The sequence below is a fragment of the Homo sapiens genome, chromosome 19, assembly GCF_000001405.40.
Source record: "Homo sapiens chromosome 19, GRCh38.p14 Primary Assembly".
NCBI classification, from domain to species: Eukaryota; Metazoa; Chordata; class Mammalia; order Primates; family Hominidae; genus Homo; species Homo sapiens.
The window spans coordinates 58,558,952-58,575,080 of record NC_000019.10 but is presented as its reverse complement, the minus strand read 5'-3'; the positions used below and the strand labels follow the sequence as shown (position 1 = coordinate 58,575,080).

The 16,129-nt window shown below is 55.2% G+C and overlaps 1 protein-coding gene and 1 long non-coding RNA gene across 9 annotated transcripts, besides 8 other annotated features; one reads left to right on the top strand and one right to left on the bottom strand.

Annotated features, from left to right (window-relative positions):
- Positions 1–283: 283 nt before the first annotated feature.
- On the bottom strand, positions 284–15,895 carry MZF1-AS1 (MZF1 antisense RNA 1). Its single transcript, NR_027334.2, has 6 exons — positions 15,672–15,895; positions 6,086–6,168; positions 4,624–4,697; positions 3,126–3,223; positions 2,258–2,503; positions 284–2,164 (listed from the first exon to the last, which is right to left on the bottom strand). It is a non-coding gene; the product is annotated as an MZF1 antisense RNA 1 (long non-coding RNA).
- Positions 1,320–2,179: an enhancer, noted in NCBI's record as "NANOG-H3K27ac-H3K4me1 hESC enhancer chr19:59084269-59085128 (GRCh37/hg19 assembly coordinates)". NCBI's record gives its function as "activates a minimal SCP1, AML or CMV promoter by ChIP-STARR-seq in naive and primed H9 embryonic stem cells {active_cell/tissue: H9 hESC(naive and primed)}" and the evidence as "EXISTENCE:reporter gene assay evidence [ECO:0000049][PMID:30033119]".
- Positions 1,372–1,801: an enhancer, noted in NCBI's record as "active region_15213". NCBI's record gives its function as "activates an Ori minimal core promoter by ATAC-STARR-seq in GM12878 lymphoblastoid cells {active_cell/tissue: GM12878}" and the evidence as "EXISTENCE:reporter gene assay evidence [ECO:0000049][PMID:35858748]".
- MZF1 (myeloid zinc finger 1) lies at positions 1,508–13,149 on the top strand. Of its 8 annotated transcripts, none has more exons than XM_047439312.1 (7): positions 1,508–1,708; positions 2,362–2,531; positions 3,652–4,087; positions 4,554–4,737; positions 5,495–5,565; positions 5,684–5,804; positions 11,577–13,149. In XM_047439312.1, the coding sequence occupies exons 2-7, from the start codon at positions 2,449–2,451 to the stop codon at positions 13,007–13,009; spliced, it is 2,328 nt and encodes a 775-aa protein (XP_047295268.1). In that variant the 5' UTR covers positions 1,508–1,708; positions 2,362–2,448; the 3' UTR covers positions 13,010–13,149. The 8 variants fall into 8 exon arrangements, with proteins under 8 accessions (XP_047295268.1, NP_003413.2, XP_011525566.1 ...); XM_047439313.1 differs by lacking the exon at positions 1,508–1,708 and adding an exon at positions 1,746–1,834; XM_005259204.4 differs by lacking the exon at positions 1,508–1,708 and adding an exon at positions 1,746–2,026.
- Positions 1,862–1,951: an enhancer, noted in NCBI's record as "active region_15212". NCBI's record gives its function as "activates an Ori minimal core promoter by ATAC-STARR-seq in GM12878 lymphoblastoid cells {active_cell/tissue: GM12878}" and the evidence as "EXISTENCE:reporter gene assay evidence [ECO:0000049][PMID:35858748]".
- Positions 2,180–3,041: an enhancer, noted in NCBI's record as "NANOG-H3K27ac-H3K4me1 hESC enhancer chr19:59083407-59084268 (GRCh37/hg19 assembly coordinates)". NCBI's record gives its function as "activates a minimal SCP1, AML or CMV promoter by ChIP-STARR-seq in naive H9 embryonic stem cells {active_cell/tissue: H9 hESC(naive)}" and the evidence as "EXISTENCE:reporter gene assay evidence [ECO:0000049][PMID:30033119]".
- Positions 11,631–11,680: a silencer, noted in NCBI's record as "silent region_11096". NCBI's record gives its function as "represses an Ori minimal core promoter by ATAC-STARR-seq in GM12878 lymphoblastoid cells {active_cell/tissue: GM12878}" and the evidence as "EXISTENCE:reporter gene assay evidence [ECO:0000049][PMID:35858748]".
- Positions 11,691–11,840: a silencer, noted in NCBI's record as "silent region_11095". NCBI's record gives its function as "represses an Ori minimal core promoter by ATAC-STARR-seq in GM12878 lymphoblastoid cells {active_cell/tissue: GM12878}" and the evidence as "EXISTENCE:reporter gene assay evidence [ECO:0000049][PMID:35858748]".
- Positions 15,114–15,710: an enhancer, noted in NCBI's record as "NANOG-H3K27ac-H3K4me1 hESC enhancer chr19:59070738-59071334 (GRCh37/hg19 assembly coordinates)". NCBI's record gives its function as "activates a minimal SCP1, AML or CMV promoter by ChIP-STARR-seq in primed H9 embryonic stem cells {active_cell/tissue: H9 hESC(primed)}" and the evidence as "EXISTENCE:reporter gene assay evidence [ECO:0000049][PMID:30033119]".
- Positions 15,856–16,115: an enhancer, noted in NCBI's record as "active region_15211". NCBI's record gives its function as "activates an Ori minimal core promoter by ATAC-STARR-seq in GM12878 lymphoblastoid cells {active_cell/tissue: GM12878}" and the evidence as "EXISTENCE:reporter gene assay evidence [ECO:0000049][PMID:35858748]".

The following is a 16,129-nucleotide window of genomic DNA, read 5'->3' as shown; positions in this document are numbered from 1 at the left end:
CTCAGCCTCCCAAGTAGCTGGGACTACAGGCGCCCGCCACTACGCCCGGCTAATTTTTTGTATTTTTAGTAGAGACGGGGTTTCACCGTTTTAGCCGGGATGGTCTCGATCTCCTGACCTCGTGATCCGCCCGCCTCGGCCTCCCAAAGTGCTAGGATTACAGGCGTGAGCCACCGCGCCCGGCCACTATTTTCTTTTTCCCTGTTTGTCCCCTAGCCCGGAGAACAGGTTCCCTTCAGACTGCCAAATATAATTTCAAAACAGTTAAAAACATGACTCTCAGTGAGCATGTGTCAAAAGATTTATTTACCGTACTGAGGGAAGCAGCAAGATGATTCTAGGAAGACAGGAAAGGAAGAATAAACACTGGCCGGCCGCGGTGGCTCACACCTGTAATTCCAGCAATTTGGGAGGCCGAGGTGGGCGGATCACCAGAGGTCTGGAGGTCAAGACCAGTCTGGCCAACATGGTAAAACCCCATCTCTACTAAAAATACAAAAATCAGCCGGGTGTGGTGGAGCAGCCTGCAGTCCCAGCTACTCGGGAGGCTGAGGCAGGAGAATCGCTTGAACCTGGGAGACGGAGGTTGCAGTGAGCCGAGATCGTGCCACTGCACTCCAGTCTGGCAACAGCGAGACTCCGTCAAAAAAAAAAAAAAAAAAAAGAAAGAAAGAAAAAGAAAAACACTGAAATAAAAGCACAAAGTTGGATACAAAACTGCTTAGTGAGCTACAAAGCGATACACTGGACAGAAAGCATTTGCAACCTATCAACCTGTACAGGGTAGCATATAACTGGACAGCATCTGGACTCCTAAGTTTTCCTAACAGTTTTACCTCGGATTCTCCCTGTCTCTCTTCGTGCTGTCATCTTTCTCTAGGTCTTCGAAAACTGTCAATCCATCTTACTGTATCTCTAATTTCTGTCCCTTTTCTCCCTTCTTGTTTCTGTCCCTCTCCCTTCTTGTCTACCTCTTGAGTCTGGATATCTGCATTTCTTGTCTCTGTGAACCCATTCTGCGTTTCCTTCTTTGTGTCTCTTTCATCTGCATCCCTTTCTGATCTGCCTCTCTCTTGCTAACTGTTCTGACACCTGTTTGCCCGGCCCTGACCCTCTGATCCACTCAGCCCTCTTATAACTTGGACCCGTGTCTCTATGTTTGTTCACTTATTTTCACTGTCTCTCCTCGCGTCGAGTCTCCGGTCCTCCCAGTCTGTGAGTCTGTCTCTCTGTCTCTCTCTCTCTTCCTCCCGCCGGTCCTTCGTCTCTCTTTGCCCTTGAGTCTCTGGTCTCTCTCCGTCTCTCCTCGCTGTTTCTATCGATCGGCATCTCTCTGCCCCAGTACCCTTCCCCACCTCTTCATCCCACATGCCCCATTGCATTTTCAACGCCCGCCGCGTCTCCGGGTTACCCAGGCGATGTCGAGTCGTGTCCCCAGGTTACCATGGAGACGTTCAGGGCCCGCCCCTCGCCCATGATCACAGAGGAACGTCATCGCGCCGCGCGCGCACGTACACACGAAGGGCCTGCTGACTACATCTGCCGGAAAGCATCGGGCCAAGCCTTTCTCCATTTTGCGGTCTAGGAAGTAGCAGAGGCCCCTTCCTGTAGGGAGTTGCCATGGAGACGCGGTGGGGCACCGACGGAGTTCTAATGACGGCCGTGATTGGTGCAGGATCCTGCTAATCTCAGGAAGGCCCGTAGAGAAGTGAGGAAAACGTGGTGGGGGGCATGCGCGATCTGGTAGGCGGTGCTGCCGTCTGTTGTACCTGAGAGGCTTGCGCATGCCGACGCACGGATTCGAGGCGGGGAGCATGGGAAGAAGCGGCCAGGAGTATGACCTGATCATTGCGACCACCGCTAGGGGAAGGGAGGAGAGGGTGTAGAAACGGGGACGAGGGTGGGGGAAGGGCAAGGAGGCGCTCGAGCTGGTGCGCGGAGCATCCTGGGAGACGTAGTCCAGCGGGAGGGGGAAGTCGAAGACTGCGCGTGCTCAGGAGCGCGGAGCGGCCCGCTGAGCGCAGAGGTGAGGGCGGGGTCCTCTTAACCGGGAGGGCTATCGTGTGGACGGGGGCGGTGGCTGCAGACTCGGGGATTCCGGCTCCCCAGTGAGACCGGAAGCGCGGGGAACGAATCCGGGCAGTCCTTGCGGGAGCGCCCAGGGCTAGAGCGAGAGGCTTGTCAATCACTACTCGTTGCCACGACGACAGGCTTTGGGAGCCCCGCCCCCGGTTGCCTAGGCGTCGTCTGGACCTACCTTGGCACCCTGGAGCGGAAGTTGCCGCCTGGACTTCTGGGAAGTGTATTTCGGGACCCTCCGTAGGTACCTGCCATCTTGGCTATGACCCAAGTCTCTCCCAGGGTTTCAGGTTGACTTGGCACCTTGAAGAGTGGAGGCTTGGCCCCCAGGATGAGGCGGCCCTCGAAATCGATGCCACCCACGGGGGAATGATTCTGCGGTGCCATCCCCTTCATAAACGCAGATTCCTTCCTAAAGCCGCAGCTGCAGAAGGAACAGCGCGAGGAGGGAGGTCAGCCCCACTTGCAAATGGGGAAACAAGTTCTCGAAGGCACAGTGATCTGAAGATGGGCGGAATCAGAGTCTCGGGACTTCCTTGCAGGCTCCTGTTCCGGCAGTCTTGGAGCCTTTGCCGCCCCCCCACCCATTGCGAAGCTCCCCCATCCCCTTCCAACCCCAGCTAAATCAGGAAGCTGAGATGGGGCATTGCGTAGTGTGATGTTGGGCTTAGAAGATGGGGCTGAGTAGGGAGAGAGGGTGCTGCCTGGGAGCTGAGCCATACAAGTGACTGCACAGGTTGACATGGAGGATTAGGTGGAGTGAGGCTTCCAAGCAGGGAGGGGAATGATGGTGGGGCCCAAATGAGGAGCCACATCGAAGTAGATGAGAGAATAGAAGGTGAAGTAAGGGCTGGCGTTGGGTAGGGGGAGACGCCAGCAGTGATGCTGATGCCCAGGCTGTAGGTGTATAGGTGCCATCCACCTGGTAAAGAGAGAGCTGTAGCGCAGGAATGAGGTTGCACATGTAGAAGAAGGGAAGGATACAGGGGAGAGAAGTGTCTTCTAGTCCTAAAAAACAGCCTGTGGGCTGGCATGGTGGAACAAACCTGTAAGTCCCAGCACTTCGGGAGGTCAAGGTAAGAGGATCATCTGCTTGAGCCCAGGAGTTCAAGAACAGCCTAGGCAACATAGTAAGATCCCATCCCTACAGAAAAATTAAGAAATTAGCCGGATGTCGTGGCACACACCTGTTGTCTCAGCTACTTGGGAGGCCGATCTCTGGAGCCCGGGAGGTCAAGTCTGCAGTGACGCATGATCTCGCCACTGCACTTCAGCCTGGGCAACTGACTGACAGCATGTCTCAAAGAAAAGAAAAAAAAGCCTGTGTTTGGAGCAGGGAGACTGTCAGAGACTTTGCACAGGCCCAAGCGGAGAGAAGACCAGGGATACAGGTGGCTAAGGGAGGGCTTCCAGCTGCATAAGTCTGTGGGTTGTAGATGGCCTTTCTTTGCCTGTTTCCTCATCTGCCTTCCACATGGGGTAGGTCTGAGGATCAAACGGTACAGCATAGACTAGGCAGTGAAGCATTCACTGTACTCCTTTTGCAACAGCCTCATCCTATTTCTTCACCAGGGGCAGACACTGGCCTCAGATACCTGACCTGGTACCCTCTATGAGGCCTGCGGTGCTGGGCTCCCCAGACCGAGCACCCCCAGAAGATGAGGGGCCTGTCATGGTGAAGCTAGAGGACTCTGAGGAGGAGGGTGAGGCTGCCTTATGGGACCCAGGCCCTGAAGCTGCACGCCTGCGTTTCCGGTGCTTCCGCTATGAGGAGGCCACAGGGCCCCAAGAGGCCCTGGCCCAGCTCCGAGAGCTGTGTCGCCAGTGGCTGCGTCCAGAGGTACGCTCCAAGGAGCAGATGCTGGAGCTGTTGGTGCTGGAGCAGTTCCTGGGCGCACTGCCCCCTGAGATCCAGGCCCGTGTGCAGGGGCAGCGGCCAGGCAGCCCCGAGGAGGCTGCTGCCCTAGTAGATGGGCTGCGCCGGGAGCCGGGCGGACCCCGGAGATGGGTGAGTGAGTGTCCACGAGTGGGGTTCAGGACTGGAGCATCATCCAGCTCGGCCTCACCCTGGGCAGCACCACGCTTTGCCAGACACACGTTCTCCCTTGTGGTACAGAAGTGGCCACCTGCAACAGAGACCCTGTGCAAGGCTGCCCAGGGCAGAGGGATTCCAGGGCCAGACTCCCCAGCCCATTCCTGCATCACCTGCAGTCACGTGGACATAGGAGCTGCAGGCTAGGGGAATATGGGGAAGGTACTGGAAGGCCACGATGTCAGAGCAGGGGAGGGACTGCAGGTGGTCCCTTCATTCTTTGCTCAGGGCCTAGGGGAGGTAGGTCCTTGGAGGACCTAGTCAGTAGGTATTTACAAGGCAGGCCCCTGGGATCCTACAGTGGGATGGGCACCCACAAACCCCAGGTTGCGGCCAGCCTTACTCTCTGGTAGGACTTCTGATGGTGGGGGCACCTCCCCAGGTCACAGTCCAGGTGCAGGGCCAGGAGGTCCTATCAGAGAAGATGGAGCCCTCCAGTTTCCAGCCCCTACCTGAAACTGAGCCTCCAACTCCAGAGCCTGGGCCCAAGACACCTCCTAGGACTATGCAGGAATCACCACTGGGCCTGCAGGTGAAAGAGGAGTCAGAGGTTACAGAGGACTCAGGTGAGGGCATGCACGGTGGGCGCGCCTAAGGTCTGGTTGGGTGGGCCAGGGAACCTGGCCTGAGCAGTCAGTCTGAAGTCCACTGGGCCAGGTTTGTTATAAATGGAATGGTTTCCATCTGCCAGCAGCCCCCACATTCTACCCAGTCAGGTCTCCCCTCCACCGCAGCCAGTGCTGTCACTACCCCTCACACACCAAGCCTGACTGCCACAGCCCTGTACCCACGAACCCCATGGCATGGAGCAGGCTGTTGGGGTTTCCCAGTACAGATGGCATGTGGTGTTCAGTCCCCAAGGAGATGCGTTAGGCAATATGTGCTTGTCACTGGGGAACAGACAGCAGGCAGAGGTATAATTAGGAGCTGCTGAGGGAGGACCTCGTAGTGTTAGGGGTATGACCCCTTTCACCTCCCAGGCAGGGCACCTGAACTAGCTGCTCACACCCTGCCATTCCTATGTGGACCCTTGTACAATACCTCTGACCCCCGCTGACCACCTTGCCCCATGGTTCACATACGGCTACAGGGGCACAAACCTCAGCCCATCTCATCCCACTGCAGCTCAACCCCTGGCCTTCCAGGGTACTCTGCTTCACCCAGCCCCTGAGCTGGGCCCTCAGCTACCCTGCACTGCCCTCCCCAACCCAAGCCCACAACCAAGAATCCCACCTCTCTGCATCCCAGCACCTGGCACACCACTAAGAAGGGCAGTGGGGTGGAAACTCACTCAGGCTGCCTGATACCAGTTTTCCTCTCTAGATTTCCTGGAGTCTGGGCCTCTAGCTGCCACCCAGGAGTCTGTACCCACCCTCCTGCCTGAGGAGGCCCAGGTAAGTCCTGCCCAGGTCCATGTTCTCCTCCTTTCCCTGGAAGTTGCTGGGTGGGGTCAGGTAGGTCCCTCCCTGAGCCCAGCCAGGCACAGAGGAGCAGTGACCACTGTGATTTCAGAGATGTGGGACCGTGCTGGACCAGATCTTTCCCCACAGCAAGACTGGGCCTGAGGGTCCCTCATGGAGGGAGCACCCCAGGGCCCTGTGGCATGAGGAAGCTGGGGGCATCTTCTCCCCAGGTAAGTGAGATGGGGTGTGGTGGGACTAGGCCTTCCGCATGGACAGCACCATCTCTGCCGACCCCACTCCTGGCCCTACGCAGGCAGCCCTCTTACTCCAGCATCCCCAAGTTCCCCCATTCCCTAGATCATCCCCTATAAGGTTCAACCTCCTCTAGCATCTTCTGCCCTCAAAAAAAGCCACCCACCACTACCACTGATCCCACAGCCCCTCTACTTTCTAGAAACTCCCCACCCTAGTAAAACCTTTTGCAAGCAGGGCGAGTATTCCCCGTACCCACATTCTCTCCCAGTCCTGGTATCCTGGATGGCCTCCTGGGCTTGCATCCTGCTGGTCAGGCATCAGGACAGGTAGGGCTGGGACCTGACAAGGACAGCAGGTTAGTAGACAGAGCAGGTGGGCAGGAGGGACCTTGACACAGGATAGGGATCCTGCCCAATCATCGAAGCATTACGGACCAGAGGCCCCCTGCCATCTACCTCTCAGCCACCACCTTTGTCTGGCATCATCCAGGCTCCTCCTACAACCCATCTTCTGTTATGTTCCTTCCTGTTCCTGAGACCCAGGGTCTCCTCTTTCTTAGTTCACACCTTTGTTTTGGTGGAGCTTTGTGGGTGTTCTGGTGTGGAAGATAAAATTCTGACATGTCCCATATCTGAAACACATTGTCTAGCCCTCAACATTAGATTGAAGTTTGGCTGGAAGAATTCTTTTTATTAGTACAGTCACAGACCTTTTTTTATCACTATTGTTGGTGAGCTTTTTCAGTTTGAAATTCACATCTCTCAGTTCTGGGAAACTGCCTTGAAATTTTTTTTTATTTCCTTCCCTTCTATTGCTCTGCTCCCTGTTTCTGGGATGCCTCTTACTTGGCTATTGGCATCTGGGATGGGTCCTTTAATGTTCTTATCTTTTCACTCCAATTTTCCATTCCTTTGTCTTTCTACTCTATTTTCCTGGAAATTTTCTCACTTGTATCTTTCAGACCTTCTGTTAAGATTTTCATTTCTGGTAGCTTTTTTTTTGGTGGGGGGAGGGGGTCTCACTATTTCACACAGACTAGAGCACAGTGGTGCCATCATAGCTTACTGTAACCTTGAACTCCTGGGCTCAAGTGATCCTCTCGCCTCAGCCTCCCAAGTATCTGGGACTGCAGGCATGTGTCACTGTACCTGACTCATTTTTAATTTTTTTATTTTTTTGTAGAAACAGGTTCTCACTATGTTGCCAGGGCTGGTCTTAAATTCCTGGCTTCAAGTGATGCTCCCACCTCAGCCTCCCAGAGTGCTGGGATTACAGGCATGAGCTACTTCATCTGGTCTCTTGTAGCATATTTTTACTTTCCAAGAGTGTTTTTATTCTCTGAATGTTCATCTTTTTAGCTGTCTCCTGTTGTTCTTTCATTTACAATGTCTTTCCTTATTTCTCTGAGAACAGCAGTAACTTTTTAAAAAAAAACAGTGTGTTCTCTATTCTCTCCTAGTTGTTGGCTTATATGCAAGAGAGGGGCACCACAAATCTGGCTGACAGCTCTGAGCAGGTAGATGTGGGGCTTACTGGCTGGAAGGGACATAGGGGAACCCCACTCCCCAAGGAGACCCTTTTCTTAGGGTATGTGAGCAAGCAGCTTGAGTATGAGTGGATGCTGCAAACAGATCCATAGGGCAATGTGGCTAGGCCATTTTGGGGGCACTCTTCCTCCAAGCATGTTTCGTTCCATCGTCTGAATCCTGCAAGAAGGTAACTTCAGCCTCCTGCCAGCATCCTTGGGAAAGAGATTAACATCTCAGCATCCAATGGGACTGTTTACCTAATAACCCTGACTTTCTCAGTACGGTTTCTCACCCTTAACATAGCCTTCTGCCAGGATGGGAGAAGAAATCCAGAAGTAAGTCATGGCAGTGCATACTGTTGGCTCAGAATTCTGTGCAGACAGAGCCCACAGCAGCAGCCCTGCCCAGCATCTGCTTCTGAAACAGCCTCTCCAGCCTGGCTGGTGCCCTGCTCATTCACTTGCATGGCCAGAAGTACCAGGTACCTCCAACTCCTGAGTTTTTAGAATCTTCTTAGCCAGGCGCAGCCGCTCATGCCTGTAATCCCAGCACTTTGGGAGGCGGAGGCAGGTGGATTGTTTGAGTCCAAGAGTTCGAGACCATCCTGGGCAACATGGCAAAACCCTGTCTCTACTAAAAAATAATACAAAAAACTAGCTGGGCATGGTGGCACGTACTTGTAGTCCCAGCTACTTGGGAGGCTGAGGTGGGAGAATCACCCAAGCCAGGGAAGTCAAGGCTGCAGTGAGCTGAGATGGTGCCAGTGCACACCAGTCTGGGCAATGGGGGTGAGACCCAGTCTCAAAAAAAAAAAAAAGAGTCTTGGGAATAAAACTGTGCCTTTTCTTTGCAGCCAGAGAGGTTTATCTATCTATCTATTTATTTATGAAATGGAGTCTTGCTTTATTTATTTAAAGGACAGGGTTTTGCTGTTTTGCCCAGGCTGGTCTTGAACTCCTGACCTCAAGTGATCCTCCTGCTTCAGCTTTCCAAGTAGCTGCAATTACAGGCTCAAGTCACCACACCTGGCTCAGAGAGGTCTTTTTATGTCTTCATCAGGAGACTATTCTGAATAGCTAATACATTCATATGTTAGGAAATTCAAAAGGCACAAGACAGTATACAGTGGAATGCCCCTTCCCTGCCTGGGCCACACAGTCTTACTCTCCAGCAGCCAACACTGCTTGTTTCTTATGTGTCTTTGTAAAAAGATTCTGTACATACAGAAGCAAAGACATTCCCAGACACATGTTCATTCCCTTTTTTTTTTCTTTTGAGATGGAATTTCGCTCTTGTTGCCCAGGCTGGAGTGCAATGGCGCGATCTCGGCTCACTGCAACCTCCACCTCCCGGTTCAAGCCATTCTCCTGCCTCAGCCTCCCAAGTAGCTGAGATTACAGTCATGCTCCACCACGCCCAGCTAATTTTGTATTTTTTTAGTAGAGACGGGGTTTCCCCATGTTGGTCAGGCTGGTCTGGAACTCCCGACCTCAGGTGATCCGCCCACCTTTGCCTGCCAAAGTGCCGGGATCACAGGCGTGAGCCACCATGCCTGGCCCATTCCTCTTCTTTTTTTTTTTTTGAGACGGAGTCTCACTCTGTCGCCCAGGCTGGAGTGCAGTGGCACAATCTCGACTCACTGCAAGCTCCGCCTCCCGGGTTCACGACATTCTCCTGCCTCAGCCTCCCGAGTAGCTGGGACTACAGGCGCCGGCCACCACGCCTGGCTAAATATTTTGTATTTTTAGTAGAGACGGGGTTTCGCCGTGTTAGCCAGGATGGTCTCGATCTCCTGACCTCGTGATCCACCCGCCTCGGCCTCCCAAAGTGCTGGGATTACAGGCGTGAGCCACCGTGCCCAGCCCCATTCCTCTCCTTTAAAACACACATGGGCCCGGCGCGGCACGTCACGCCTGTAATCCCAGCACTTTGGGAGGCCAAGGCGGGCGGATCACGAGGTCAGGAGATCGAGACCATCCTGGCTAACACGGCGAAACCCCGTCTCTACTAAAAATACAAAATATTAGTCAGGCGTGGTGGCGGGCGCCTGTAGTCCCATCTACTCGGGTGGCTGAGGCAGGAGAATGGCGTGAACCCGGGAGGCGGAGCTTGCAGTGAGCTGAGATGGCGCCACTACACTCCAGCCTGGGCAACAGAGCGAGACTCCGTCTCAAGTGCGCACACACACACACGGGCTGGGCGTGGTGGCTCACACCTGTAATCCCAGCACTTTGGGAAGGCGAGGCGGGTGGATCATATGAGGTCAGGAGATCGAGACCAGCCTGGCCAACATGGTGAAACCATGTCTCTACTAAAAATACAAAAAATTGGCTAGGTGCGGTGGCTCACGCCTGCAATCCCAGCACTTTGGGAGGCTGAAGTGGGCAGATCACCTGAGGTCGGGAGTTCGAGACCAGCCTGACCAACATGGAGAAACCCTGTCTCTACTAAAAATACAAAATTAGCCGGGTGTGGTGGTGCATGCCTGTAATCCCAGCTACTCGGGAGACTGAGGCAGAAGAACCGCTTGAACCCAGGAGATGGAGGTTTGCAGTGAGCAGAGAACACGCCATTGCACTCCAACCTGGGCAACAAGAGCAAAACTACGTCTCAAAAAAAAAAAAAATACAAACAATTAGCCAGGCATGGTGGTGCACGCCTATAATCCCAGCTACTCAGGAAGATGAAGCAGCAGAATCGCTTGAACCCGGGAGGCAGAGGTTGCGGTGAGCCGAGATCACACCACTGCACTCCAGCCTGGGCGACACAGCAAGACTCAGTCTCAAAAAAAAAAAAAAAAAAAAAAAAAAAAAAAAAAAACACACACATGGATGCTTATTCTCCACCCTGTTCCACATCTGGCATTTTTTGTGCATCTTCCAACTTAAGTACACAGCAGCAAGTGCTCTACATCTTTGGGTAGCTACACAGAACCCCACTGTGGCTCACTGTGGACACACCATTGAAAACCTTGTATGTAGGTCACTTAGTACAAGGAGGAACACAACTGTTGAAGAAGTACCTAAAAATTGAATTACTTGAACAAAGTGTGGGACATTTGCTGTTTTGATGGATTTTACCACACTGTCTTCCCATTTATGCTTACCAGCAATACATAGGAACACTTGGGTCCCTGCAGTCAGGGTGTGGAAATGGCAGATGAGTTCAGCCCTAAGGTGCATTTTTCTTACTAGGAGGAGATGGAGTGTATTTTATGGGATATAAGCATTAGCTACATTTCCTGTCCTGTTCACATCCTTTGCCCATGTGTCTATGAGGTTATTGATCTTTCTTACTGATTTATTGTAGCTCTTTACTTAGGAGGTTAATTAGCCTTTTGCCTGTGGAGAGTTTTTTGGTTTGCCATTTGTCCTTTTTTAATTTTTTTTGTTTTTTGGCCATTTGTCTTTTGACTCTGATGTGGTTTTTGCTGATTTCCTTTGATGTATTCTAGTTTATCTGACTTTTCTTTGGCGACTTATGGACTTTCTCTCACCACTAAAAGCCCTCACTGCTCTCTCAGTCTTCTTGATTTAACCTCCTCCAGGCTTCCGCCTTCTCCAGGCCCTGATTCTCAGTTGGAGTTGCTGGTGCCTCCTCCTTCACCCAGCGTCTGACGCTGGAGTGCTCACAGTGTGGCTGGGACCCACTTCTCTCCTCTGTAGATACCCACCCCTGTGTTGATCACTTGCAGGCCCGGGTTCTGTGTGCCATGTGTATGCCCTAGAGCCCTTGCTCACGTTTCCCCACAGCCTTCATGAAGTCTGTGTTCCTCAGATGCCCCACAGACATCACAAGCAAGGCACATCCAAACCCCAGACCACTATCCAGGAGCCTGCACCCTCTTTCTGTTGGCTCCACCTCCAGCCTCCGAGACCCACCCACTTCCCTGCATTTGCTGAGACCATCATTTTCCACCTAGACAATGCCCCCACGCTTGCCCTACAGCCCTTCCAAAAACGATTTTTTCCAACCTAAATCAGACCTAGAAAGCTTTTTCACATAGCCCAGTCTTCCTCCTTGTGCTGGGTTCTGTCTCATTATCACCTCATCAGGGAAGTCTGTACAGATAGAATCCCTACCCCTGCATTTGTCGCCTCCGTCTGCCTCTTTGGTCAGTTTCAGGTCCCTGTAGTTCACACTGTGTCCCCAGGGATGAAGTGGGTCCCGGCACGGTGGGCATTCTGTCATGAATGAATGGTCCCCTTGTGTATGCAGGGTTCGCGCTGCAGCTAGGCAGCATCTCCGCAGGTCCAGGTAGTGTAAGCCCTCACCTCCACGTCCCCTGGGACCTCGGCATGGCTGGCCTTTCTGGCCAGATCCAATCACCCTCCCGCGAAGGTGGCTTTGCGCATGCGCTTCTGCTCCCCAGCGATCTGAGGAGTGAACAGGACCCCACGGACGAGGATCCCTGCCGGGGTGTGGGCCCTGCTCTGATCACCACCCGCTGGCGCTCCCCCAGGGGCCGGAGCCGGGGCCGCCCCAGCACTGGGGGCGGGGTGGTTAGGGGCGGCCGTTGCGATGTATGTGGCAAGGTGTTCAGCCAACGCAGCAACCTGCTGAGGCACCAGAAGATCCACACGGGTGAGCGACCATTCGTGTGCAGCGAGTGCGGCCGCAGCTTCAGCCGCAGCTCGCACCTGCTGCGCCACCAGCTTACGCACACCGAGGAGCGGCCGTTCGTGTGCGGCGACTGTGGCCAGGGCTTCGTGCGCAGCGCGCGCCTGGAAGAGCATCGGAGAGTGCACACGGGCGAACAGCCTTTCCGTTGCGCTGAGTGCGGCCAGAGCTTCCGGCAGCGCTCCAATCTGCTGCAGCACCAGCGCATCCACGGCGATCCCCCGGGCCCTGGCGCTAAGCCCCCGGCCCCTCCTGGTGCGCCCGAGCCTCCCGGCCCCTTTCCGTGCAGCGAGTGCCGCGAGAGCTTCGCGCGGCGCGCCGTGCTGCTGGAGCACCAGGCGGTACACACGGGCGACAAGTCCTTTGGCTGCGTCGAGTGCGGCGAGCGCTTCGGCCGCCGCTCAGTGCTGCTGCAGCACCGGCGCGTGCACAGTGGCGAGCGGCCCTTCGCCTGTGCCGAGTGCGGCCAGAGCTTCCGGCAGCGCTCCAACCTGACGCAGCACCGGCGCATCCACACCGGGGAGCGGCCCTTCGCCTGCGCCGAGTGTGGCAAGGCCTTCCGCCAGCGGCCTACGCTCACGCAGCATCTCCGCGTACACACGGGCGAGAAACCCTTTGCCTGCCCCGAGTGTGGCCAGCGCTTCAGCCAGCGCCTCAAGCTCACGCGTCATCAGAGGACACACACCGGCGAAAAGCCCTACCACTGCGGTGAGTGCGGCCTGGGCTTCACGCAGGTCTCGCGGCTCACCGAGCACCAGCGCATCCACACGGGCGAACGGCCCTTCGCCTGCCCCGAGTGCGGCCAGAGCTTTCGGCAGCACGCCAACCTCACCCAGCACCGGCGCATCCACACGGGTGAACGGCCCTACGCATGCCCTGAGTGTGGCAAGGCCTTCCGCCAGCGGCCCACGCTCACGCAGCATCTGCGCACCCACCGACGAGAGAAGCCCTTCGCCTGCCAGGACTGTGGCCGCCGCTTCCACCAGAGCACCAAGCTCATTCAGCACCAGCGCGTCCACAGCGCCGAGTAGCTCCAGCCGGGACGCACTGTGTCCGCCATGGTCAGAACACCTACCTCCCCTGGTTATTGTGAGGCTGGCGATTACATAAGTATAAGCAGGTCCGCCCAGGGCTTGGCTACTGTAGGTGTCCAATAAACAGTAGATGGAAACTGGGTCTCCACCCACTCAGTGCCTCCCTACCTGTGCGTCCTTCACTCCCCACCCTCCAGCCCCCCGAGTGCTGGGCTGGTGTGCTCCCTCTGTAACCACGTGGTTCCTGTGAGGGTTCACCTCCACAACACCCCTCTTCACCCTGAGAGAGGTGGCTCCTAGCATCACCTACCCCGCGTGTGGGATGGCCGCTATACCCAGCTTCTAGTTTACAGAGGGAATGGACCAGCAGCAGGTGGGGCAGAACTGCCCTGGGCAGTCCAGCTTCAGCTCTCCCTGGGCAATGGACCTCGGTTTCTCAAACCCAGAGAGGAAGAAATGTTCTCTGTGAGCATCCACCAAGAGTACATATGTGCATAGCATGGTGCCATGCCTGATCTGATTGAGTCCCATCAAGAGACAGAGCACAGCTAACTAGGTGTTAGGTGATTGATGGGAGAGTGAGAAGGTTAAGTCAATCTGTCTTAGAAATGGGAAAGTTCCTGCAGGAAGCAGCTAGACCCTTAGGACTAGAGGAACAAAGGGAAGCATTGCAACTTAGAAGCTCCAATGAGTTTCCCATGGAGCTGGAACTCAGGCCCCTGAGAAGAGGGCACTGCTGAGCCAGTCCTGGGGTCTCTTAGCTGGCAGGGAAGCCCTGTGGGCCTGAGGGGGTACTGCTCAGCTGGTCTGGAGGTCTCTGTTCTCAAGAGGGTGCCCCATAGGCCTAGGAGACTCCTGAGGGGGCACTGGTGTGGGTGTCTCCAAGGGGCCCAGTGAGCCTGGTTCTGGGAGGTATGTAAAAACTGTTGCTCCTGGAAGGACCTGCTGTTGCCAAGGGGAAGAGGTGGTGCTGGCCTAGTCTCTTCTCCCTTTCCAACCCCTGTTCCAGCCTGCCCTTAACAGATCTGCAAGTGAAGAGAGGTGTTTGTAGTCTCTGCCCTGCACAGTGATGCCTAGGTGGGTAGGTCTGGAGCCCAGCCTTGTCTGGTGATGAAATCCCATGGGATTTTCCCTTGACACTGAGACCAGGGCCTCCAAGGGCTGGGAGAACACTCAATCCTCAGGGAGGTTACCAGCCTCCTGAGCACCAGTCCTCCTTGCTCCAAGTCAGCGTTAATGATTCATTCCCATGATACTACCTCTCCCACCCCAGCTCAGCTGTACAGCTACCCTTACCCTAACAGCACCCTACTCCCTAAAGTGGTCCTGAGCGGCCAAAGCTTTCTACCTTTATCTACCTATCAGTAGGAGTACCCGCTGAAGAGTTGTACTCATGGGGACATTCAGCATCTCACCCTTAGTACTAGAGGAACAAAGGGAAGCAGTGGGGTCACAGCACTTCTTACAGCTGGGAGCCAAGGATCCCACTTGGATCTGCCAACCCCCAGGTTTGTGGGTGGTACTGTGCCTAAACTTGATGCCTGCAACCTGCATGCTCCCCTCCACACCCTGTCACGGCTGTCCCCTGGGCCATGGGCCAAGCCAAACCCCAGGAAAGGACCCAGACAGGCCAGAATCTCCCTAGCCAACCAAGATTATGCGATCCAGCAGGAGCAAACTGACACCTGGTGATCCAGATTCTGCCTCAGGATGTCTTTGTAAAACTCCTTTACACCTAGGAAACCATTTCCTAGTTTTAAAACTAGAAGATTTCACCTGGAAATTCAGATTTTTCAAGACTTTCCTGTTCTCGTGTTCACAAGCAGCAGGTGATGAGGGTGTAGGACCCTGCAGATGGAACCCCAGCCAGTCTGAGAAGCAAAGGCTGCAGGCCCTGGGCCAGTTTCCCTGCCCTGTGGTGATCATTCCCATCGCTAGAGCTGAAGGCTTCTCCCACCCTGGCCCCATGCACATTGGAAGGTTTCAGTCAGGAGTAGATTCAGCAGCAAACCAGTGGAAACGCAGCTTAGGTGAAAGTGGACAGATGCTGAGAGCATAAGTTCAGCATACTGCAGGCTTCAGGGCAGCGTCTCCAGGACCCAGTGCCATTGCCTGTTTTGCCCTAGCCATCTTCCCCTTCCATCCCATTGTCCAGGTCCTTCACACAGCCCCTCTCCCCCAACCCTCCAGTGGGTGACTTGGGTGCAGGTAACACAGGCTGAAAGGCAGTTTCAAAGAAGGGGCTTGGCCTTGGCCAGAAGCCACTCCTGGGGGAGCATCTGCAGAATCAGAGGAGTGGCGCCTGGGCCCCTCCGCAGGCAAGTGCCACACCATGCGCTCACGGGGCTGGCAGTTTCCGTGGTGACGGCCGGAAGTCGCTGACCGGCAGAGTTCCGTTTCCTCCCGCCCTCCGAGGCACGCTGAGCTGTGATTGGATGGGAAGCTGACCCCCGCCTCCATCCCCTTTTCCAGATAGTGGGGGAAGCGCAGAGGCTGCAGTGCGTGTCCGCTGGAACTTGAGGCCCACGCCAATAGCGGCCCGATTCCGCCCCCACGTCGCGTTCCCCAAGTGTCCACCCCGACAGGTCTTCCCCTACACCACTGTAACCCTCCACAGTGCTTACCACTCTCTGGCACAATACATGTTTTGTTAGTTTACCTCAATCAGAATCTCCAGGAACGGGGATCTTTGGGTTTGCGATGGGACAGGGAAGGTACTCGACCTCGCACCCTCTGGGTAACGCATCTAGTCTCACTCAGGGTCTTGCCGCGATCACCCTGCCTTGTCTGTGACCCATAGGGTCAAAGGCAGGCCGGGCGGGTGGCGGCAGCAGCGGAGGTGACCACCCGCGCCGCGCTCTGCACATATATACAACTTAAGATGAAGTGACCGCGAGCAAAAGCGGCCCACGTCTGCCCCACTCAAAGATGGCGACTAACTCCGCTTCCTGCCCGGCCCCGCGAAAGTCGCCGGAAGTGACCTGCAAGGCCGCCGAAGCGTCATCTCCATGAACGGAAATGCCCGAGTCCAGCCGAAGGAGGCCGAACCCCAAACTCCATCGCTGAGCAACGCGGGTTTGCGGCGGCTGCGCAGGCGCACAACGCAGGCCGGGCGGG

Excerpts from the sequence above, each read along its gene's own strand:
- MZF1 (XM_047439312.1), top strand. The coding sequence starts at position 2,449 with ATGATTCTGCGGTGCCATCCCCTTCATAAACGCAGATTCCTTCCTAAA. Across the intron at positions 4,088-4,553 it reads CGGGCGGACCCCGGAGATGG|GTCACAGTCCAGGTGCAGGG; the intron begins GTGAGTGAGTGT and ends GCACCTCCCCAG. Across the intron at positions 5,805-11,576 it reads TGGGGGCATCTTCTCCCCAG|GGTTCGCGCTGCAGCTAGGC; the intron begins GTAAGTGAGATG and ends TTGTGTATGCAG.